This window comes from Homo sapiens, chromosome 17 (genome assembly GCF_000001405.40).
Source record: "Homo sapiens chromosome 17, GRCh38.p14 Primary Assembly".
Classification (NCBI taxonomy): Eukaryota; Metazoa; Chordata; class Mammalia; order Primates; family Hominidae; genus Homo; species Homo sapiens.
The window spans coordinates 49,633,852-49,652,289 of NC_000017.11; the positions used below are offsets into that span (position 1 = coordinate 49,633,852).

The 18,438-nt window shown below is 40.4% G+C and overlaps 1 protein-coding gene across 9 annotated transcripts in view, besides 1 other annotated feature; it reads right to left on the bottom strand.

Annotated features, from left to right (window-relative positions):
- The window catches only part of SPOP (speckle type BTB/POZ protein), a 79,280-nt gene that overhangs the window by 34,968 nt on the left and 25,874 nt on the right, over positions 1-18,438 (bottom strand). For 2 of the 9 annotated variants that reach the window (NM_001007229.1, NM_001007230.1), the window contains one exon: positions 2,908-2,958. The exons of 4 other annotated variants lie outside the window; for them this stretch is intronic. The gene's annotated coding sequence lies outside the window, so the exon portion shown is untranslated. Of the gene's footprint in view, positions 1-2,907; positions 2,959-6,276; positions 6,297-12,264; positions 12,668-18,438 lie in introns of those variants that run through there. 3 more of the 9 variants (NM_001370730.1, NM_001370731.1, NM_001370732.1) reach the window with 3 other exon arrangements.
- Positions 12,506-12,595: an enhancer, noted in NCBI's record as "active region_12366". NCBI's record gives its function as "activates an Ori minimal core promoter by ATAC-STARR-seq in GM12878 lymphoblastoid cells {active_cell/tissue: GM12878}" and the evidence as "EXISTENCE:reporter gene assay evidence [ECO:0000049][PMID:35858748]".

Here is an 18,438-nt window from a genome sequence, read left to right on the forward strand (position 1 = left end):
ATCAGAGGAAAAAATTCCTCTGTCTCCATTTGGATGGAGGATCCAGCAGAATAATGGCCGCAACAAGCACAGGTTTCACAAGATCTGGGTTAATACCATCAGGTGACATGCTGCTGTTGTTAATTACAGAACCCCTGCTAGGAAGAAAAACTCCTCCAGCTGCTTAAAAAAAAAAAAAACAGAAAAAGAGAAAATAGAGTTCCTCAGATTAGACTTTTCCACACTGGGAAATACCTGAAATGGAAGGACAGGAATCCGAATCAGGAAACAAACCTGATTACAAAGGGGCTATTTCACTTCAGAGTGGGTCTCAGTTCCAAAAGAGAACATCTTTAGAAATGAAGTCAGAAAGGCAAACGCAAGCAATCAACAACTTCTCCATTCTCACAAATTAGAATCATGTGTTGATTCCACTAAATGGCTTGGGCACAAATCTCTAGGGCCACAAAGAGTGAACTTGGGAAAGATGAAGATTTTAACACGTCCCACATGTTATAAAAGATGCCTCCTCTAGGCTGAGAAAATTTACTTATTCTAAAGAAGAGCTGAAAAAGGATCAGAAAAGGAGGAAGCAGGGAAAAGCCCTATGGTAAGAAGATTCCATTTATTACATAAGTTAATATTCTCACAGCTGTTTTCCAATTTGAGAGGTTATGGTCTTTGACCCACTCCCCTCAATGATGACTATGAAGAACCTTATAAAATCTAAACAGTAAACAGATGAAAAGGCTGGCCCTAATACTATTTAAGCATGTCCAATCTGCAAGGAATTCAAAAACAGAAGAGTCATTTCATGAAACAAATAGAGCTTATATAACCCCACAGAGTCCCCTGGCTTTTATAGAAGCCAAATTCAACAGGCAGTTCTCTTTGGCCATCTATACTTCAGCCAAGCCATTTAAAAATATTTCTTGCTAACATGATTCGGCTATGGAAGGGACCCAAGGAATGAATTTCAAAGGAGAAAGTCTAATTAGTCTTAGGGCATACAATTTGAAATAAGTTCATTAACTTGGAAACTGAAAAGGCCCACCTGCTCCAGGGGATTTGGTCTCCTACAAGGGCAACTGATTATGTTCAGCATTAACTATTACTATCCAGCAGTAAAGAATTCAGTATTCCCATGAGATACTTTTCTTCCTGAAAGGCACCTAGACCTCCTTCCAACTTTAAAAGAGAAGGGAGGTATATGTATGTTTTTAATCTTCTCCTTTACAGTCTTAACTAAAAAAGCCTAACTACTATTTACATGGACCACGTGCCTTACCTAGAAACAATCTGCAGAAAATAAATTCCCTCTTCTAACATTATTAAAAATAAGCAAAATTCTATGTTAATGTTACAGTTCTAAGTAAACGAAATGGAACAAAGGATGGGCAGGAATTTCTCAGTTTTAAATGTTCATTCCAAAATTCATGACTCAAGGAAAAAGTAAAACCACACAGGCAGACAAAATAGGGAAGGTTAGACAGAATGTCTGTCTTAACAGAATTTCCTGGCTCCTGATGATTTGTGTCAGAATTTAAAAGATTAAAATGCAATAACACCTATTTAACCCAACATGACTCTGACAAAACATACACAAGCTTTGGAAGCTAAAAATTTCATACTACAAAGTAACAAGTTTTCAGATGTTACACAAAATGGTGGAGAGTTTTTTTTCTGTAAGTTACCCAGAGAGATATGAGCTCCAAGGTAAAATACACAAAGGCAATTTGTTCAAAATCAAACTCCTTTTATAAAGTAAAATGAAGCCTACAAATTTCTTTAAGGTATCTCTCTTTTTTTTTTTTTTTTTTTTGAGACGGAGTCTTGTTCTGTTGCCCAGGCTGGAGTACAGTGGTGCGATTTCAGCTCACTGCAACTTCTGCCTCCTGGGTTCAAGCAATTCTCCCACCTCAGCCTCCCGAGTAGCTGGGATTCAGGCACGTGCCACCATGCCTGGCTAATTTTTGTATTTTTAGTAGAGATGGGGTTTCTCCATGTTGGCCAGGCTGGTCTCAAACTCCTGGCCTCAAGTGATCCACCTGCCTCGGCCTCTCAAAGTGCTGGGATTATAGGTGTGAGCCACCGCACCTGGTCCCAAGTATCTCTTTTTCATAAACTGTAATTCTAATTTCCCTGAAGGTCTTTTATGTTTTTTCTGTTTGTTTTTGTTTTTGTTTTAGACAAGGTCTTGCTCTGTCACCCAGGCTGGAATGCAGTGGCACAATTATGGCTCACTGCAGCCTAGACCTCCTGAGCTCAAATTATCCGCCACCTCAGTCTCTTGAGTAGTTGGAACTGCAGGCATGTGCCACCACACCTGTCTAATTTTTGTATTTTTTATAGAGATGGGTTTTTACCATGTTGACCAGGATGGTCTCGAACTCCTGAGCTCAAGCAATCTTCCTGCCTCAGCCTCCCAAAGTGCTGGGATTACAGGCATGAGTCACCATGCCCGACCTTCCTGAAGAACTTTTCTAGGAAGAAAAATAATCTGACTCTAAGGTTTCCGTATCATATATTATCAACCATTGATTAAAAATTTAAATTCAAATATCATTTCTCCCCTCCACCATTACTGTAAAGTCTTATCCTATATCTAGAAATCACCAGAGAAGATCAGAATAAATAGTTCTGGCTTACTCCAGGTAAGAATATTTAGAATAAAACTTTTTTTGAAGACACTTATAGAAAATGTTTATTTAACACTGTAATAATTCTTATTTTAAAAGAAAATCTTACACGCTTACCTTATATGACTTTAACTTTTTAACTTTACCTATCATTTGCACTAAAATGAAACAGTAGATTGTACTCAAGAGGTGTATTTTTAAAAGTCATGGTAAATGTTTTTATGCATTTCATTCTGCTTTTTCCCTCATGATTAAACTATATTTAAAATAAAACTATGTAAAAACTCACCAAGTTAAGTCAGTAGGAAAACTCTAATTTGTCTTGTCTAACAGGAAATCTCTGTTGGAAATAGAGAATATGAATCAGACTTAACTAGATTCTGAATCTCATACAAGTCTTTACTTACTTTGTCTATTCCTAAAAAGGAAAAATCTCACAAAAGCAGGTGATATATGAAAGAAGAAATGACTAGTAAAAATTTACTAGTCAAAATTACCATTCTTAGGCCAAGGTGGGTGGATCACTTGAGGCCAGAAGTTCAAGACCAGCCTGGCATCATGGTGAAATCCTGCCTCAACCAAAAATACAAAAAATTAGCCAGGCATGGTGGTGCACGACTGTAGTCCCAGTTACTTAGGAGGCTGAGGCACAAGAATTGCTTGAACCCGGTGGAGGAGGGACACGCAGGGCAGGGCAGAGATTCCGGTGACCTCAAAATCATGCCACCGCACTCCAGTCTGGGTGACAGAGTGATACTCTCTCAAAAAAAACAAACAAAAAAATTACCATTCCTTTATCTCACTAGCTCTGAATGCTCTATTTCTTAGTCATCTCTCAAAAAAATATTATACTTAGAAATGGAAGTCAGAAAAATCCAAGCTGGTTCTCCTTTTTTTTGAGATGAAATCTCAGCTCTGTTAGCCAGGCTGGAGTGCAGTGGAGCGATCTCAGCCCACTGCAACCTCCACCTCCCACGTTCAAGCAATTCTCCTGCCTCAGCCTCCCAAGTAGGTGGGATTACAGGTGCCTGCCACCACGCCTGGCTAATTTTTGTATTTTTAATAGAGACGGGATTTTGTCATGTTGGCCAGACTGGTCTCAAACTCCTGACCTCAAGTGATCTGCCCACCTCGACCTCCCAAAGTGCTGGGATTATAGGCGTGAGCCACTGCGCCCAGCCCCAAGCTAGTTCTTCTAATAAACTGACCTATGAGTGCAGCAAAAATGAGGTGACTTGTCCTGTGTCAATATTTACAAGAAAAGAGAGATCACTGTTGCCAGCTCTTTCACAAAATGCTTAAAGAATTATTATAAGTTTTTATGTAAAACACCTTTTAAAAAAGTGCTCTATGGGTAAATTACACCAAAGCAAGATGCATTTAAACAAAGCCATGTATCCTATGGTTTTCTGTTTAGAGACAGGGTCTCACTATGCTGCCCCAGCTGGAGTACAGTGGCTACTCACAGGACTGATCATAGTGCACTATCTCAGCCTCCTGAGTAGCTGGCACTATGCAGGCACACGCCACCATGCCTGGCCCTATGGTTTTAATAAATAACTGTGACAATGAGATGCAGAATGGACTGGATTAATAGTGATTATACAAGGGAGAGAAAGAGGTTCCTGTTGAAGACTGGAGAGATAGCCAAGCAACACCAACCTCTGATAATCTACCATATCCTACAAAGTAGCTCAAAACAGAAACTGGGATAAGAGAAGTAGCAATGCTTCTAGGAGTCTAACATAGGCAGAAAATTCCACTGCTATATTCCCTTTTGTGAGAAAATAAAGTATTGCATAAATCATGGGTAAATGATTCCTTAAAAATAGAATCTCGGCTGGGCACAGTGGCTCACACCTGTAATCCCAGCACTTGTGGGAGGCCGAGGCAGGCGGATCACGAGGTCAGGAGATTGAGACCAGCCTGACCAACATGGTGAAACCCCGTCTCTACTAAAAATACAAAAATTAACTGGGCATGGTGGTGCACGCCTGTAGTCCCAGCTACTGGGGAGGCTGAGGCAGGAAAATCACTTGAACCCCACAGTGGTTGCCGTGAACAGAGATCGCACCACTGCACTCCAACCTGGTGACAGAGTGAGACTCTGTCTCAAAAAAAAAAAAATAGAATCTCTTCCTGAAAATGTAAGCACCAACTTTAACTAGTACATGGTACAAATAAGCTTCTCTTAGACTATAATAGGTTTTGGTAAACCAAGTCCAGTTACTATCAGTGATCAAATGAGCCATCACCAAAAACTGTGCTAAATGACTGATGCTAAAACAGGGCAGTCTTAATCAGATACCATAAAATAAATTCACCTGAGGTCAGGAGTTCGAGACTAGCCTGGCCAATGTGGTAAAACCCTGTCTCTACTAAAAATAACAAAAGTTAGCCAGGCGTGGTGACGGGCGTTTATAATCCCAGCTACTTGGGAGGCTGAGACTGGAGAATCGCTTGAACCTGGGAGGTGGCAGTTGTAGTGAGCAGAGACTGAGCCAACAATCCCACGTAGTTCAGTTAATAATAGCAGGAGTCAGGCTGAATTCATGCAACAAATATTTACTGAGTACCAACTGCAGGGCATTCTTTGAGACACAGTGGTAAAAGAGACAGACAAGGTTCCCAACCCTCTGAGGATAGAAAGATAGAATGCCTTTAAGGCAGAAGATATCAACCAACTCTAACAAATGAAAATAAATAGCTGTGATTCTTAAAGCAGAAACCAATACCTTTAGTCCCTTACTCTCCACTTTTTTTTTTAAGCTTAAGGTTTGGGTTTCTCAAAATTTAAAGCATCTGACAAAACTGGTAAGGGCTGAACAGGGAGACTATCATACTGTTGGTAGGAGAACAAACTGGTACCACCAGTTTGGAAAATAGTTTATTATTATCTAATAAGACTAAAGATTCTGCAATTCCACTCCAAGTATATGGCCTAGAGAAACTTCTGTACATGTTCACAGCAGCATTGTTCATTAACAGCCAAAAACTAGAAACAATCAAAGTGTTCATCAACAGAATGAATACATAAATTGTGGTATATTCATATAACAGAATGCTATATGGCAATGAAATCAAACTACAGTTCTATATAGTAACATGGATGAAAGTTATGAACATATATATTGTTAGGTTCTTCCTGAAAGAAGACATAAAAATGTAAAAATCACATAATGTATTATTCCAATTTATACAAAGTTTAAAAACAGACAAAACTAAATTATATTGGTTTAGAATGAATCCTAGGTGGTAAAATCATAAAGAAAAATAAGGATATGATTATCACACATGTCAGAAGAGTGGTTATTCTGAGCAATGGTATACGTTATGATCTAGAAGGGAGACGCAGCAGGCTTCTTCCAGGTGCTGGCAATGATATATTTCTAGGTCTAACTGGTGGTTACCTAGGTATTTGCCTTCTGTAATTAATCCTTACATTATACAGTCATGCTTTGTGTATTTTTCTGTTATATTTCATAATAAAAATGTTCAAGCCAGGCATGGTGGCTCACGCCTGTAATTCGAACACTTTGGGAGGCTGAGGAGGGAGGATCACTTGAGATCAGGAGTTCAAGACCAGCCTGGCCAACATGGTGAAACACCATCTCTACTAAAAATACAAAAAAAATTAGCCAGATGTGGTGGCGCACACCTGTAATCCCAGCTACTTGGAAGGCTGAGGTGGGAGGATCACTTGAACCCAGGAGGCAGAGGTTGCAGTGAGCCAAGATGGTGCCATTGCACTCCAGCCTGGATGACAGAGTGAGACCCCGTCTCAAAAAAAAAAAAAGTTCAAAGCATACATTATTAAAATAACCTAATAGAGTAGATGTCTATCTAGCCTCCAATAATATATAAGTGTGAGTACATCTTGCAAATAATACAGTTTTTTTAAAAAAAAAGACAATTTAGGATGAGAAGTCAGTAATAAAGCAGGGCCACCCAGGAATAAATACCTATAGGCAGGATTTTCTATTACGTTCTTTGAATTTAAATGCCATACCTAAGATCTATATTTCAGGGAAATTTTCTGTACTAATATAAAGGTTTAAATCTACATATGACTACCACCAGGAACCATGAGTTAATCCCCAAATTATTTTGAGACAAAATCTTCTGAAAAAGCAAAGCCAAGACACAAGTATTTTTTGGTTTTACTAGTTTAATCATGGCCTCTGATGGAACCTCCAGTAAAATCCCAACTCCCTCTGAGTGAAAGCCTTACAATGGCCAAAAGGGTCCTGCACAATCTGGACTTGATTACCTCTCTGGCCTCATTTCCAACTACGTTTTCCTGATCTCACTATGTACCAGCTACACTGCCGTTCTTTGTTGTGATTCCTCAGAATAAGCCCATTCCTGCCTTGGAGCATTGTACGTGTCATTTTCTGTCTGAATAAGTCTTCCCCTAGATGTTCTCAGGGCACACTCCTTCACCATTGCTAAGACTTTCCTTGTCACCATCTCTGTGAGGTCTTCCCTGATACCCTTAAAAATGAATTCCTGGCTGAGCGTGGTGGCTCACGCCTGTAATACCAGCACTTTGATATGCCGAGGCGGGTGGATCACTTGAGGTCAGGAGTTCAAGACCAGCCTGGCCAATATGGTGAAACCCCGTCTCTACTAAAAACACAAAAATCAGCTGGGCGTGGTGGCACACACCTGTAGTCCCAGCTACTCAGGAGGCTGAGGCAGGAGAATCGCTTGAACCTGGGAGGTGGAGGTTGCAGTGAGCAGAGATTGCATTACTGCACTCCAGCCTGGATGACAGAGCAAGACTCTGTCTCCAAAAAAAAAAAAAAAAAAAAAAAAAAAGCAATTCCCTCCGTTAACAACCACAATCCTATTCCTGCTTCATCATTTTTTTTTCTATAGCGCATAAAGTCATCTACCATCCTGTATCTTTTTACAATCTGTCTTCTCTAACTGGAAAATAAACTCTACCAAGACAGGTTCTTGTCTGTTTTGCTGCTGCACCCAGACAGTGTCTGGCACATGGAAGGCTACAAATACTTATTTAATAAATGACTGAATTAATGTTTTCTTTTAGATTCCCGTGCTTGAAAGATTAGACAGTAACTCTATAGCACAAAAAAAAAGAAAAAAAAAAAACCCAGAATGTTTCTCCCCTTGTATGTCAAATTAACAAAGTTTATTTTACTAACAAGTTTCAGGTTTATGCACTTATTAATATTAATGAGTCAGAGTTAAGACTTCTAAAAAGTTGATACAAACATATTTTCCCTTAACAAATGTGTAATAGTGGCCAGGCACGGTGGCTCACGCCTAAAATCCCAGCGCTTTGGGAGGCCGAGGTGGGTGGATCACCTGAGGTGAGGAGTTTGAGACCAGCCTGGCCAAAATGGTGAAACCCTGTCTCTACCAAAAAATACAAAAATTAGCCGGGTGTGGTAGTTGGCACCTGTACTCCCAGCTACTAGTCAAGAAGCTGAGGCAGGAGAATCGCTTGAACCTGGGAGGCAGAGGTTGCAGTGAGCCAAGATGACGCCACTGCACTCCAGCCTGGGTGACAGAGTGAGACTCCGCCTCAAAAAAAAAAAAGTGTAATACCTGTTTTTAATAACAATGCCATTGAGGGCACAAAGAGACAAGAACTCTCATGTACTGCTGGTGCGGTGCAAATCAGCATAACTATTATGGGAACTACTTGACAATATGTAGGATAAAGATTGAGTACTTACTATATATACTATTTAAGTTTGTAAAAAGTGAGCACATTTTACTTTTATAGTCAGAAAAAAAAGGTTTTTAAAAGAAAGAATCATGCAAAAAAATATATAATTTCAATAAAAAAGTTCTTCAGCACCTTGGGAGGCCAAGGCAGGCAGATCACTTGAGGTCAGGAGTTTGAGACCAGCCTGGCCAACATGGTAAAAACCCATCTCTACCAAAAAATACAAAAATTAGCTGAGCATGCTGGCATGCGCAGAGGTTGCAGTGAGCCGAGATCATGCCACTGCACTCCAGCCTGGGTGACAGAGTGAGACTCTGTCTCAAAAAAAGAGAAAGTTCTTTATATTGTATTTTGACTCCAACAAAAGCAATAAAGGCTTCTGTTACATATCCAGATGAAATATCTCAAGAGGGTAACTACAGTTAGAAAAATAATGGTTTTTTACTTAGGAACTAAAAAAAGTTTTATAGCAGTTTCCAGAGTGGAAGGGAAAACGAACCCTACAGTGTTAGTGTTCCATATAAGAGCATCATTTTCTTCTAAAGAAAGATTTAAGATAGGAACATTTCTCTGTAGCATAAAATGTGGGACTGATGTGACAAAGAGCAGGTAAACAATTCCAATCAAACTTGGTGACTATGATGGCATAGGGAAGATAATTCACTGAATGAAATTGCCTATTGGGTGACATGACAGATACTTCCGAGTATACATATAGTGCTTGTACTTTTGATGGAATACGTCATCTATGTTAAAGTTGGCGTAAGCCTAGATCCAAAGGTTACTTTCCAACCACAATACTTATTACCTGAACCAAACCCTAAGACAAGAACAGATCTGAGATAAAATACACAGGCATCTGATATACTAGTTCTATTTATTACTCTGATTTCTATTTGAAGGTCTTATTGGTTGTCTTAAAAAAAATTCAGCACATAAATTCTCAAATTCTTAAAGATAGTTGATATATTCATGAGACAGGTGGCTGCCCAAACTAGTTGTTAAGAAAGGAAGTCCTACTCAAACGCTTGCAGCAGGCAGAGTGTGTTATTAGAGAAGAGTAACAGTTTTCATTTGTAACACTTCAGGATTCCAAGTGCTCAAAGCTCTGAATAGGAGCCAGGTTTAAAGGGTGAAAAAACATGGAGCATAAAAATTAAAAATATACTCAACCTCACAATAATGAATAAGGCACAGTGGATTAAAGACTCCAGAAAAAATTTATAAATGAAAACCACTGGCAATTGAAACATATGGTCCTTGAACAAAATTTAAATGTAATAATTCTAATCAAATATCGAGGTGAAGACATATTTTTTAAATGCTACCTTTGGCTAAGAATGCTTCAAGAAACCCTTCTATAAATATCAACTATGTCTGGATCACACTGAACTTATAAAGTAATATAAGAAGAACATGAACTGGATTGGAGATCACTAAATAGTCCCACACAGTAGGGAGAAAATATTCTAGAAGAAGGCCAGGTGTGGTGGCTCACACCTGTAATCCCAGCACTTTGGGAGGCCCAGGCGGGCGGATCACTTGGGGTCAGGAGTTCAAGACTAGCCTGGCCAATATGGTGAAACCGCATCTCTACAAAAACACAAAAATTAGCCAGGCATAATGGCAGGTGCCTGTAATCCCAGCTACTTGGGAGGCTGAGGAAGGAGAATCGCTTGAACCCAGGAGGCAGAGGTTGTAGTGAGCTGAGATCGTGCCACTGCACTCCAGCCTGAGCGACAGAGTGAGACCCGTCTCAAGGAAAAAAAAAAAAAAAAGAAAGTATTCTAGGAGTTAAAAAGTAGTAAAAGAAAGCTTACAAGGAGAATAAAAGGTGAGCAGTAACTGAAATTTATTAAAAAACAGTTAATAACATGAGACAACAGAAATGCAAAATATTAAAATACAAAGCTGGCCAGGTGCTGTGGCTCACACCTGTAATCCCAACACTTTGGGAGGCCAAGGCAGGAGGATCACATGAGCTCAGGAGTTCAAGACCAGCCTAGGCAACATAGTGAGACCCTGTCTCTAAAAAATTAACTAAATTAAAATAAAATGCGAAGTTGCCAAATTTATCAGATTCCAAAAAGAATCCATAAGGAAAGAAAATTTCAGAGCCTCTCATTCTCTGATAAAAGAAGAGTATCATTTCAAAGTATAGAAGGTTTTCCTCATCCCTCTCCCTCCCTCAAATAATGACTATAAATACCAAAGTGTTGGACCCAGTGGGAGAACTCAAATAATGAGGTAGTTTAGGACAAAATCAAACCACTGAAACAAAAGAAGAGGAGAAGGAAGAAGAAGATGATGATGATGAGGACAAAGACCAGAAAAGATATGTACAAGGTTGTTCACTAGTTGTCTGTAATGTAATGGGGGGTAAAAAGGAAAACAATTTAAATATCCATCAAAGGGATTGTGGAAAAACTGTGAAATATTCATACTGTATAATAAAAACAAAACAGCTAAAATGGAAGACCTAGATCTGAATCTACCAACATGTACAGATTTTGGAAAAAAAGAATGAAAATAAGACTGCTGCAGAACTTATATACATATAAATATATATACATATGCACATATATACTCACACATATGTATATAATTTATTGTCTAAAAATTAAACACGTAAAGCAATACATTTTCATACATACACACATACATACATACACATCTATATTGCACTGGAATGATACACACTAAATTCATGGCAATAGGTTGTCTCTGGTAGTGAAGGATGGAAACAGAACTGAAAGTATAAATAAATAAAACTTTAGCTGACAGTGTCACAGTCTCTTTTTGTTTGGCTTTTTCTTTTTTTAAGCTTTTCAAATCGATGAATTCAGGAAAAATGGTAAATTAGAAAAGCTAAAGATTGCTTAATGACTTGTGATATAGGAAAAAAAGCTAAATAGCTCAAAGCAATATTTTAAATAGATACTAATGCAGCCTAAATCAAACCAAAAAGAGCCTATGAATTCAGTCCAGATCATCTCACTAAGGAAAATCCTGTGTTGGTAAATATTTTTCCTATAGCTGATGGAAATTATACAGCACTGGGGTTCCTTAAGCAGAGAAAGTATAGGGACTGACTTCATAAATGTCAATAAGAAAGCACATCTTCTTTCTTTCCTTCTTTTTTTTTTTGAGACGGGGTCTCCTTCTGTCACCCAGGCTGGAGTACAGTGATTCGATCTCTGCTCACTGCAACCTCTGCCTCCCAGATTCAAGCAATTCTCCTGCCTCAGCCTCCTAAGTAGCTGGGATTACAGGCACGTGCCACCACACCCAACTAATTTTTTTTTTGTTTTTAGTAGAGATGGGGCATGTTGGTGAGGCGGGTCTCGAACTCCTGACCTTGTGATCTGCCCACCTCGGCCTCCCAAAGTGCTGGGATTACAGGCATGAGTCACCGCGCCCAGCCAGAAAGCACATCTTAAATAAAAATAATGTCCACAGTAATCTGACATATCTTCATAAAGACCATAAATCCTTATACTTTGCCTTAATTTTATTTATTCCTCTAAGAACCAATCTCTCTTTTAATCATCTCAAATTTTAGTACCTGAAACTCAAAGACAGATTATAAAAAGAACACTTAAGGCTTTTTTGCCTTCTTGAATTCACTTAAGCTTTTTTTCCCCTTCTTTCAAACATGTTTTTCCTCCTTCTTCCTTGACGTTTCCCATCTCCAACCTGTTGTTGTTTTTTTTTCCTTCCATTATCTCACTGACCAACAGTTGCTTTCAACTGCTAGCAAGCCTCTGGCATATTTATATTTTTCACTTCTTAAAGGAAAAGATGCTCCCACTCCACAGCCCAAAGGTCAAATAAAGGGGAAAAAACACATAAAAAGTACTAACCATATTTTGCTGCCTTTCCTTTCTGTATTATGGCTAGGAATAAAGCTCTAATTGCCAAATAAGAGAGCAAAATCAAACTTACCTGTACATTTTATCATCTTTATAACATTTAAATTTATCCAGGGTCCTCTGTTTCACAAGTCACTTTGGTTAGGAATTATAAGGCCACTTAAAATAGGCCACTATAGTTGAGCACTATAGTCTAGTGGAAACCATAACCTCAAGATTCACAGTAGAGGAACAACCTAGGCCAGGCGTGGTGGCTCATGCCTTTAATCCCAGCACTTTGGGAGGCCAAGGTGGGCAGATCACTTGAGGTCAGGAGTTCCAGACCAGCCTGGCCAACATGATGAAACCTCGTCTCTACTAAAAATACAAAAATTAGCCCTGCATGATGGCGCAAGCCTGTAATCCCAGCTACTTGGGAGGTGGAGGCCACAGTGAGCCGAGATCACGCCACTGCACTACAGCCTGGGTGACCGTCTCAAAAAAAAAAAAAAAGAGAGAGAGAGAGAGAAGCAACCTGTGCATTTCCACCCCCATCCTCCTTTAAAAGGATTTCCAAGGTCCTTTCCAGTTAAATGCTTTAAGCTATATAACCACTCCCTCATAAGCAGTATTCAATGTTTCACAGTCTTCAAAGTACTCTGACATTTATGATCTTATTTGGGATTTTCAACAGCTCTGTGAGGCACACAGAGCAAGCAAGTATTTTACAAATAAGGGAACAGAAGCTCAGAGTTCCAATTTGCTGTGGTCACATGGCTATTAATGGGCTTGAGTTTAGAACACAAAGTCTTTTAACTCCTAAACCAACACTTTGCAATTCCTTTGGGGTGACTCTTAGATCAGGTATGGTCTTTTATTCAACATGTAGAAATGGAAAAAATACCTGAGAAAGATACTTATATTCTCTAGCTTTCAGTTCCAATTTCATTTTCAAGTGGCAACTCAGTATGAAAGTATGTTCTTTTGGCCGGGCAAGGTGACTCATGCCTGTAATTCCAGCACTTTGGGAGGCCAAGGCAGGCACATCGCCTGAGCTCAGCAGTTGCAGACCATCCTGGCCAACATGGTAGAACCCTGTCTCTATTAAAAAATACAAAAAAAAAATTAGCCAGGTGTGGTGGTGCATGCCTGTAGTCCCAGCTAATCGGAAGGCTGAGCGGGAGGCTGAGGCTGGAGAATCGCTTCAGCCCAGGAGGCAGAGAGGTTGCAGACAGCCGAGATCACGCCACTGCACTCCAGCTTGGGCTACAGAGTGAGTGAGATGCCGTCTTAAAAAAAAAAAAAAAAAAAAAAAAAAAAAAGTTCTTTTGTTCTAATGAATTTGGAGCACCATTATTAATGGAGACCTCAGCAAATCATTAATGGGTTCGTGTCTACTTCCATGACTGGATCCTGGGAACGAATCCTATGTTGTAATTATTTTTATTTTTTTTAAATTTTTTTATTTCTTGAGATGGAGACAGAGTCTTGCTCTGTCACCCAGTCTAGAATGCAGTAGCGCAATCTCGGCTCACTGCAACCTCCACCTCCCAGGTTCAAGCGATTCTCCTGCCTCAGCCTCCCGAGTAGCTGGGATTACAGGGGTGTGCCACCATGCCCAGATAATTTCTGTATTTTTAGCAGAGACGGGGTTTCACAGTGTTGGCCAGGCTGGTCTCAAACTCCTGACCTCAAGTGATTTGCCCACCTTGGCCTCCCAAAGTGCTAGGATTATAGGTGTGAGCCACTGCGCCTGGCCCTCCTATGTTGTAATTATTTTAGAATGACTTTTCATGCCTTAGCACCTAATCATCATTAATTTTTTCAAATAAAATATCTATTGTTCTAACTGCCAGAGTAATTTTTCTAGTCTAAGTTTTCAAGAAACCAGTGTCTTTCTCCACAGTTACCTTCCTCTCCTTTGCCACAAGCTTACAGAAAAGCACAATTTTTACCATTCTTTAATTATATTCATTTCAGGTGTCCATACTAACTGGCACCTCTTCAACTCAATTGCTTAAGCTAAAAACCCTATCTTTTCCTATCCTCTTTATCAGGAAGTCCTGTCAGCTGTCCTGCTTCTCAATGTATTCCATATTTATCCATTTTTGTCCAAGCCAGAGTTTTCTCACCTGAATAGTTACTGGTTTCTAATTGATCTCCCAGCTTCCTCTGTAGCCCAATTTATGTATTCTTCACATAGCAGCCACAGTGAGCTTTTAAAATGTAAATCCAGATATTGCTCCTTCACTTAACCACACTTAGAATTCCAGCTCTTTATCTGAACCTACAGAGTCCTATAAGAGCTGGCCCATTATACCAAATTCATCACCTACCACTCTCCCTTATCACTAACTTTACTCCAAAACACTGGGTTTTCTTTCTACAAACAAGCCAAGATTGTTTCCATCTTAGGGCCTTTGCATTCTTCCCTCAGGCTGGAAGACGCTTCTTCCAGATATTCACATTGCTTCTTGTTACTTAGGTCTTCTCTGACCATAGCCAAAAGTAGTAGCTCTACTCCTACACCTGCTATGAATGTTTCATGTGACTTAATCCTCTACACTGTGGGTGCACTTAGAATAATCACATGTGGTCCTGCCGGGCTGAGACTCAGAACCTAGACAATGGGGGCTCTCCTCAAAGAATGCCCATTTCTACGTCAGAAGCAGCTCCCTGGTCTTTTTCTTTTCAGTGCCCAACAGAGTACCTACTAAACTCTTTTTACTTTGGATGTAAATTTTTTTTCTTTTTTGAGACGGAGTCTCACTGTGTTGCCCAGACTGGAGTGCAGTGGCGGATCTCGACTCACTGCAAGCTCCGCCTCCCGGGTTCATGCCATTCTCCTGCCTCAGCCTCCCGAGTAGCTGGGACTACAGGCGCCCGCCACCACGCCCGGCCAATCTTTTGTATTTTTAGTAGAGACGGGGTTTCACCATGTTAGCCAGGATGGTCTTGATCTCCTGACCCCATGATCCGCCAGCCTTGGCCTCCCAAAGTGCTGGGATTACAGGCGTGAGCCACCGCGCCCAGCCTGGGTGTAAAATTTTTAAACAAAGCCATACTTAATCTTAGAAAATTTTCCTATAATGTTGTTTAGGTCTCTCTTTTTAAAAATTACATCACACCTCTAGATTCTGTATTTTTTATTTGCCTTAAAGAAATCAGCCAGAAGCGGTGGTGTCCCATTATGACTAGTTTTTGTTCTCTTTAATTGATAGAAAGTAAACTATGGGCCGGGAGCTGTGGCTCACGCCTGTAATCCCAGCACTTTGGGAACCAAGGAGAGCGGACCACCTGAGGTCAGGAGTTTGAGACCAGCCTGGCCGCCATGGTGAAACCCCGTCTCTACTAAAAACACAAAAATTAGCTGGGCGTGGCGGCGCATGCCTGTAATCCCAGCTACTAGGGAGGCTGAGGCAGGAGAATTGCTTAAACCGGGAGGGGGAGGTTGCAGTGAGCTAAGATTGTGCCATTCCACTCCAGCCTGGGCAACAAGAGTGGAACTCGGTCTCAGAAAAAAAGAAGAGGCCGGGCGCGGTGGCTCACGCCTGTAATCCCAGCACTTTGGGAGGCCGAGGCGGGCAGATCAAGAGGTCAGATCGAGACCATCCTGACTCACACAGTGAAACCCCGTCTCTACTAAAAATACAAAAAATTAGCCGGGCATGGTGGCAGGCGCCTGTAGTCCCAGCTGCTCGGGAGGCTGAGGCAGGAGAATAGCGTGAACCCGGGAGGAGGAGCTTGCAGTGAGCCGACATTGAGCCACTGCACTCCAGCCTGGGCGACAGAGAGAGACTCCATCTCAAAAAAAAGAAAAAAAGAAAAAGAAACCACTAGTTTCTTACTTTATAGTACATAGTTTACTTTCATTTATTTATTTATTGAGACGGAGTTTCGCTTCTTGTTGCTCAGGCTGGAGTACAATGGCACGATCTCGGCTCACCTCAACCTCCACCTCCCAGGTTCAAGCGATTCTCCTGCCTCAGCCTCCCCAGTAGCTGGGATTACAGGCATGCGCCACCATGCCCGGCTAATTTTGTATTTTTAGTAGAGACAGAGTTTCTCCATCTTGGTCAGACTGGTCTTGAACTCCCAACCTCAGGTGATTCGCCCGCCTTGGCCTCCCAAAGTGCTTGGATTACAGGTGTGAGCTACCGCACCCAGCCCATAGTTTACTTTCTATCAATTTAGAAAACAACAACTACTCATAGTGGGACCGGGGAGATGAGATTTGTTTTCCAGGATGAGAAATTGGCTTATAAATAGAAAAACAGGCTGGGTGCAGTGGCTTATGCCTGTAATCCCAGCACTTTGGGAGGCTGAGGCGGGCAGATCACTTGAGGTCAGGAGTTTGAGACCAGCCTAGCCAACATGGTGAAACCCTGTCTCTACTAAAAATACAAAAATTAGCCGGGCATGATGGTGCACGCCTATAGTCCCAGCTACTCGGGAGGCTGAGGCAGGAGAATCCCTTGAAACCGGGAGGTGGAGGTTACAGTGAGCCAAGCTCGTGCCACTGCACTCCAGCCTGGGCAACAGAGCAAGACTCCGTTTCAAAAATAATAATAACAATAATAAATAAATAAGTAGAAAAACAAAAAGTAGAGATATGAGTATTTTTGGAGATGAAGATCTAAGTAATACCAGCAATTTTAACAAATACCTTATACAGTGATAGTAAAAATTGACAAAACTTGCTAATACTAAATTTTTCCAGAGTAAAAGACTAAGCTGATTTGAATAAAGTGATGGAAGTTCTAAATACTCTTTGTGGGCAAGAAGTTTGTACCCAGAACATCCTGTATTGTGCCTAGCACAGAGAAGGTGCTTCACAAGAAAAGTCTGGTGAATAAAGGAATAAAATAGCTCTGGAGATATAAAAGGACTTAATAATATCCAGTCAAATTATTTCATTTTACAGATCAAGGAACTGAACCCCAAAGCAGCTTAGTGGCTTGCCCAATGTGTTAATAATACACACAGGAAGCCAGCAGCGGAGTTTAGAACAGTACCTAGCTATCATACTATCTCCCCACAGTTATGTGAGGAAAAAAAGAGATGTTGGGCTCAAGAATTTCAGTGTGGGTAAATGAAAGATAAAAGATTGGTGAAAAATAATCAGACTGTAATTCAGGATATTGGGTCCAATAATGATTGATAAATTGGAATAGCACAAGAAAGATATTGGTGAGGCACTATAGTTACCATTAAGTAGGGTCCAAATGGGCCACCAAATTCTCCTCATTATCAGAAACGATACTAGAAACAAAACCAGAAAACACACACAAAATTGACTTCCCTCAACCTAGCTTTCCAGTCTTATCTAATGTGACTGTTCAAATTAAGTCAACTGTCAAGCTACTCAATTCCACTGCTCAGTCTATATTCACAACAAAATTAAAGTGGCTATACAAACTGGATTCCTCCTAAGGATATGGAGTTACAAAGATAAATTTGCAACTCTATTTGTTCTTGGCTCCTGTAACCTTTTATTTTCAATTCAACCAAATCTTTACTGATTAAAACAGCACAGACATAATTTGACTCTGATTCTTAAGATGTGAAAGGTGTCTTTATTTCCGGAATAAAAGGCTTCCTTTATTTCCTCTTTCAAAGCAAAGATTCATCCTATCATCTTAATCAAATTATTACCAAATATTTAGAGTACCCATTTTGTGATAGGCCTATGGATCATTAAATTTTGGAAGAATAGGCCCAACACGATGGCTCATGCCTGTAATCCCAACACTTTGGGAGGCCAAGGCAGGCAGATCACTTGAGGTCAGGAGTTCCAGACCAGCCTGGCCAACATGGTGAAACCCTGTCTCCACTAAAAATACAAAAATTAGCCAGGCGTGGTGGCGGGCGCCTGTAATCCCAGCTACTAGGGAGGCTGAGGCATGAAAATTGCCTGAACCCAGGAGGCGAAGGTTGCAATGAGCCGAAATCGTGCCATTGCACTCCAGCCTGGGTGACAGAGTGACATTCTCAAAAAAAAAAAAAATTGGAAGAATAAGTTTTCCCCACCAATACTACTACAGGTGGATCATCCCTAACCTGAAAATCTGAAATGCTCCAAAATCCAAAACTTTTTAAGCACGGGTATGATGCTCAAAGGAAATGTTCATTAGAGCATTTTGGATTCTGAGTATTTGGATTAGGGGTGTAAATATTTCAAAATCAGAAAAAAATAAAAAATCTGAAACACTTCTAGTCCCAAGCATTTTGGATAAGGGATGTTCAACCTGTAGTAGAGTCACCAGAG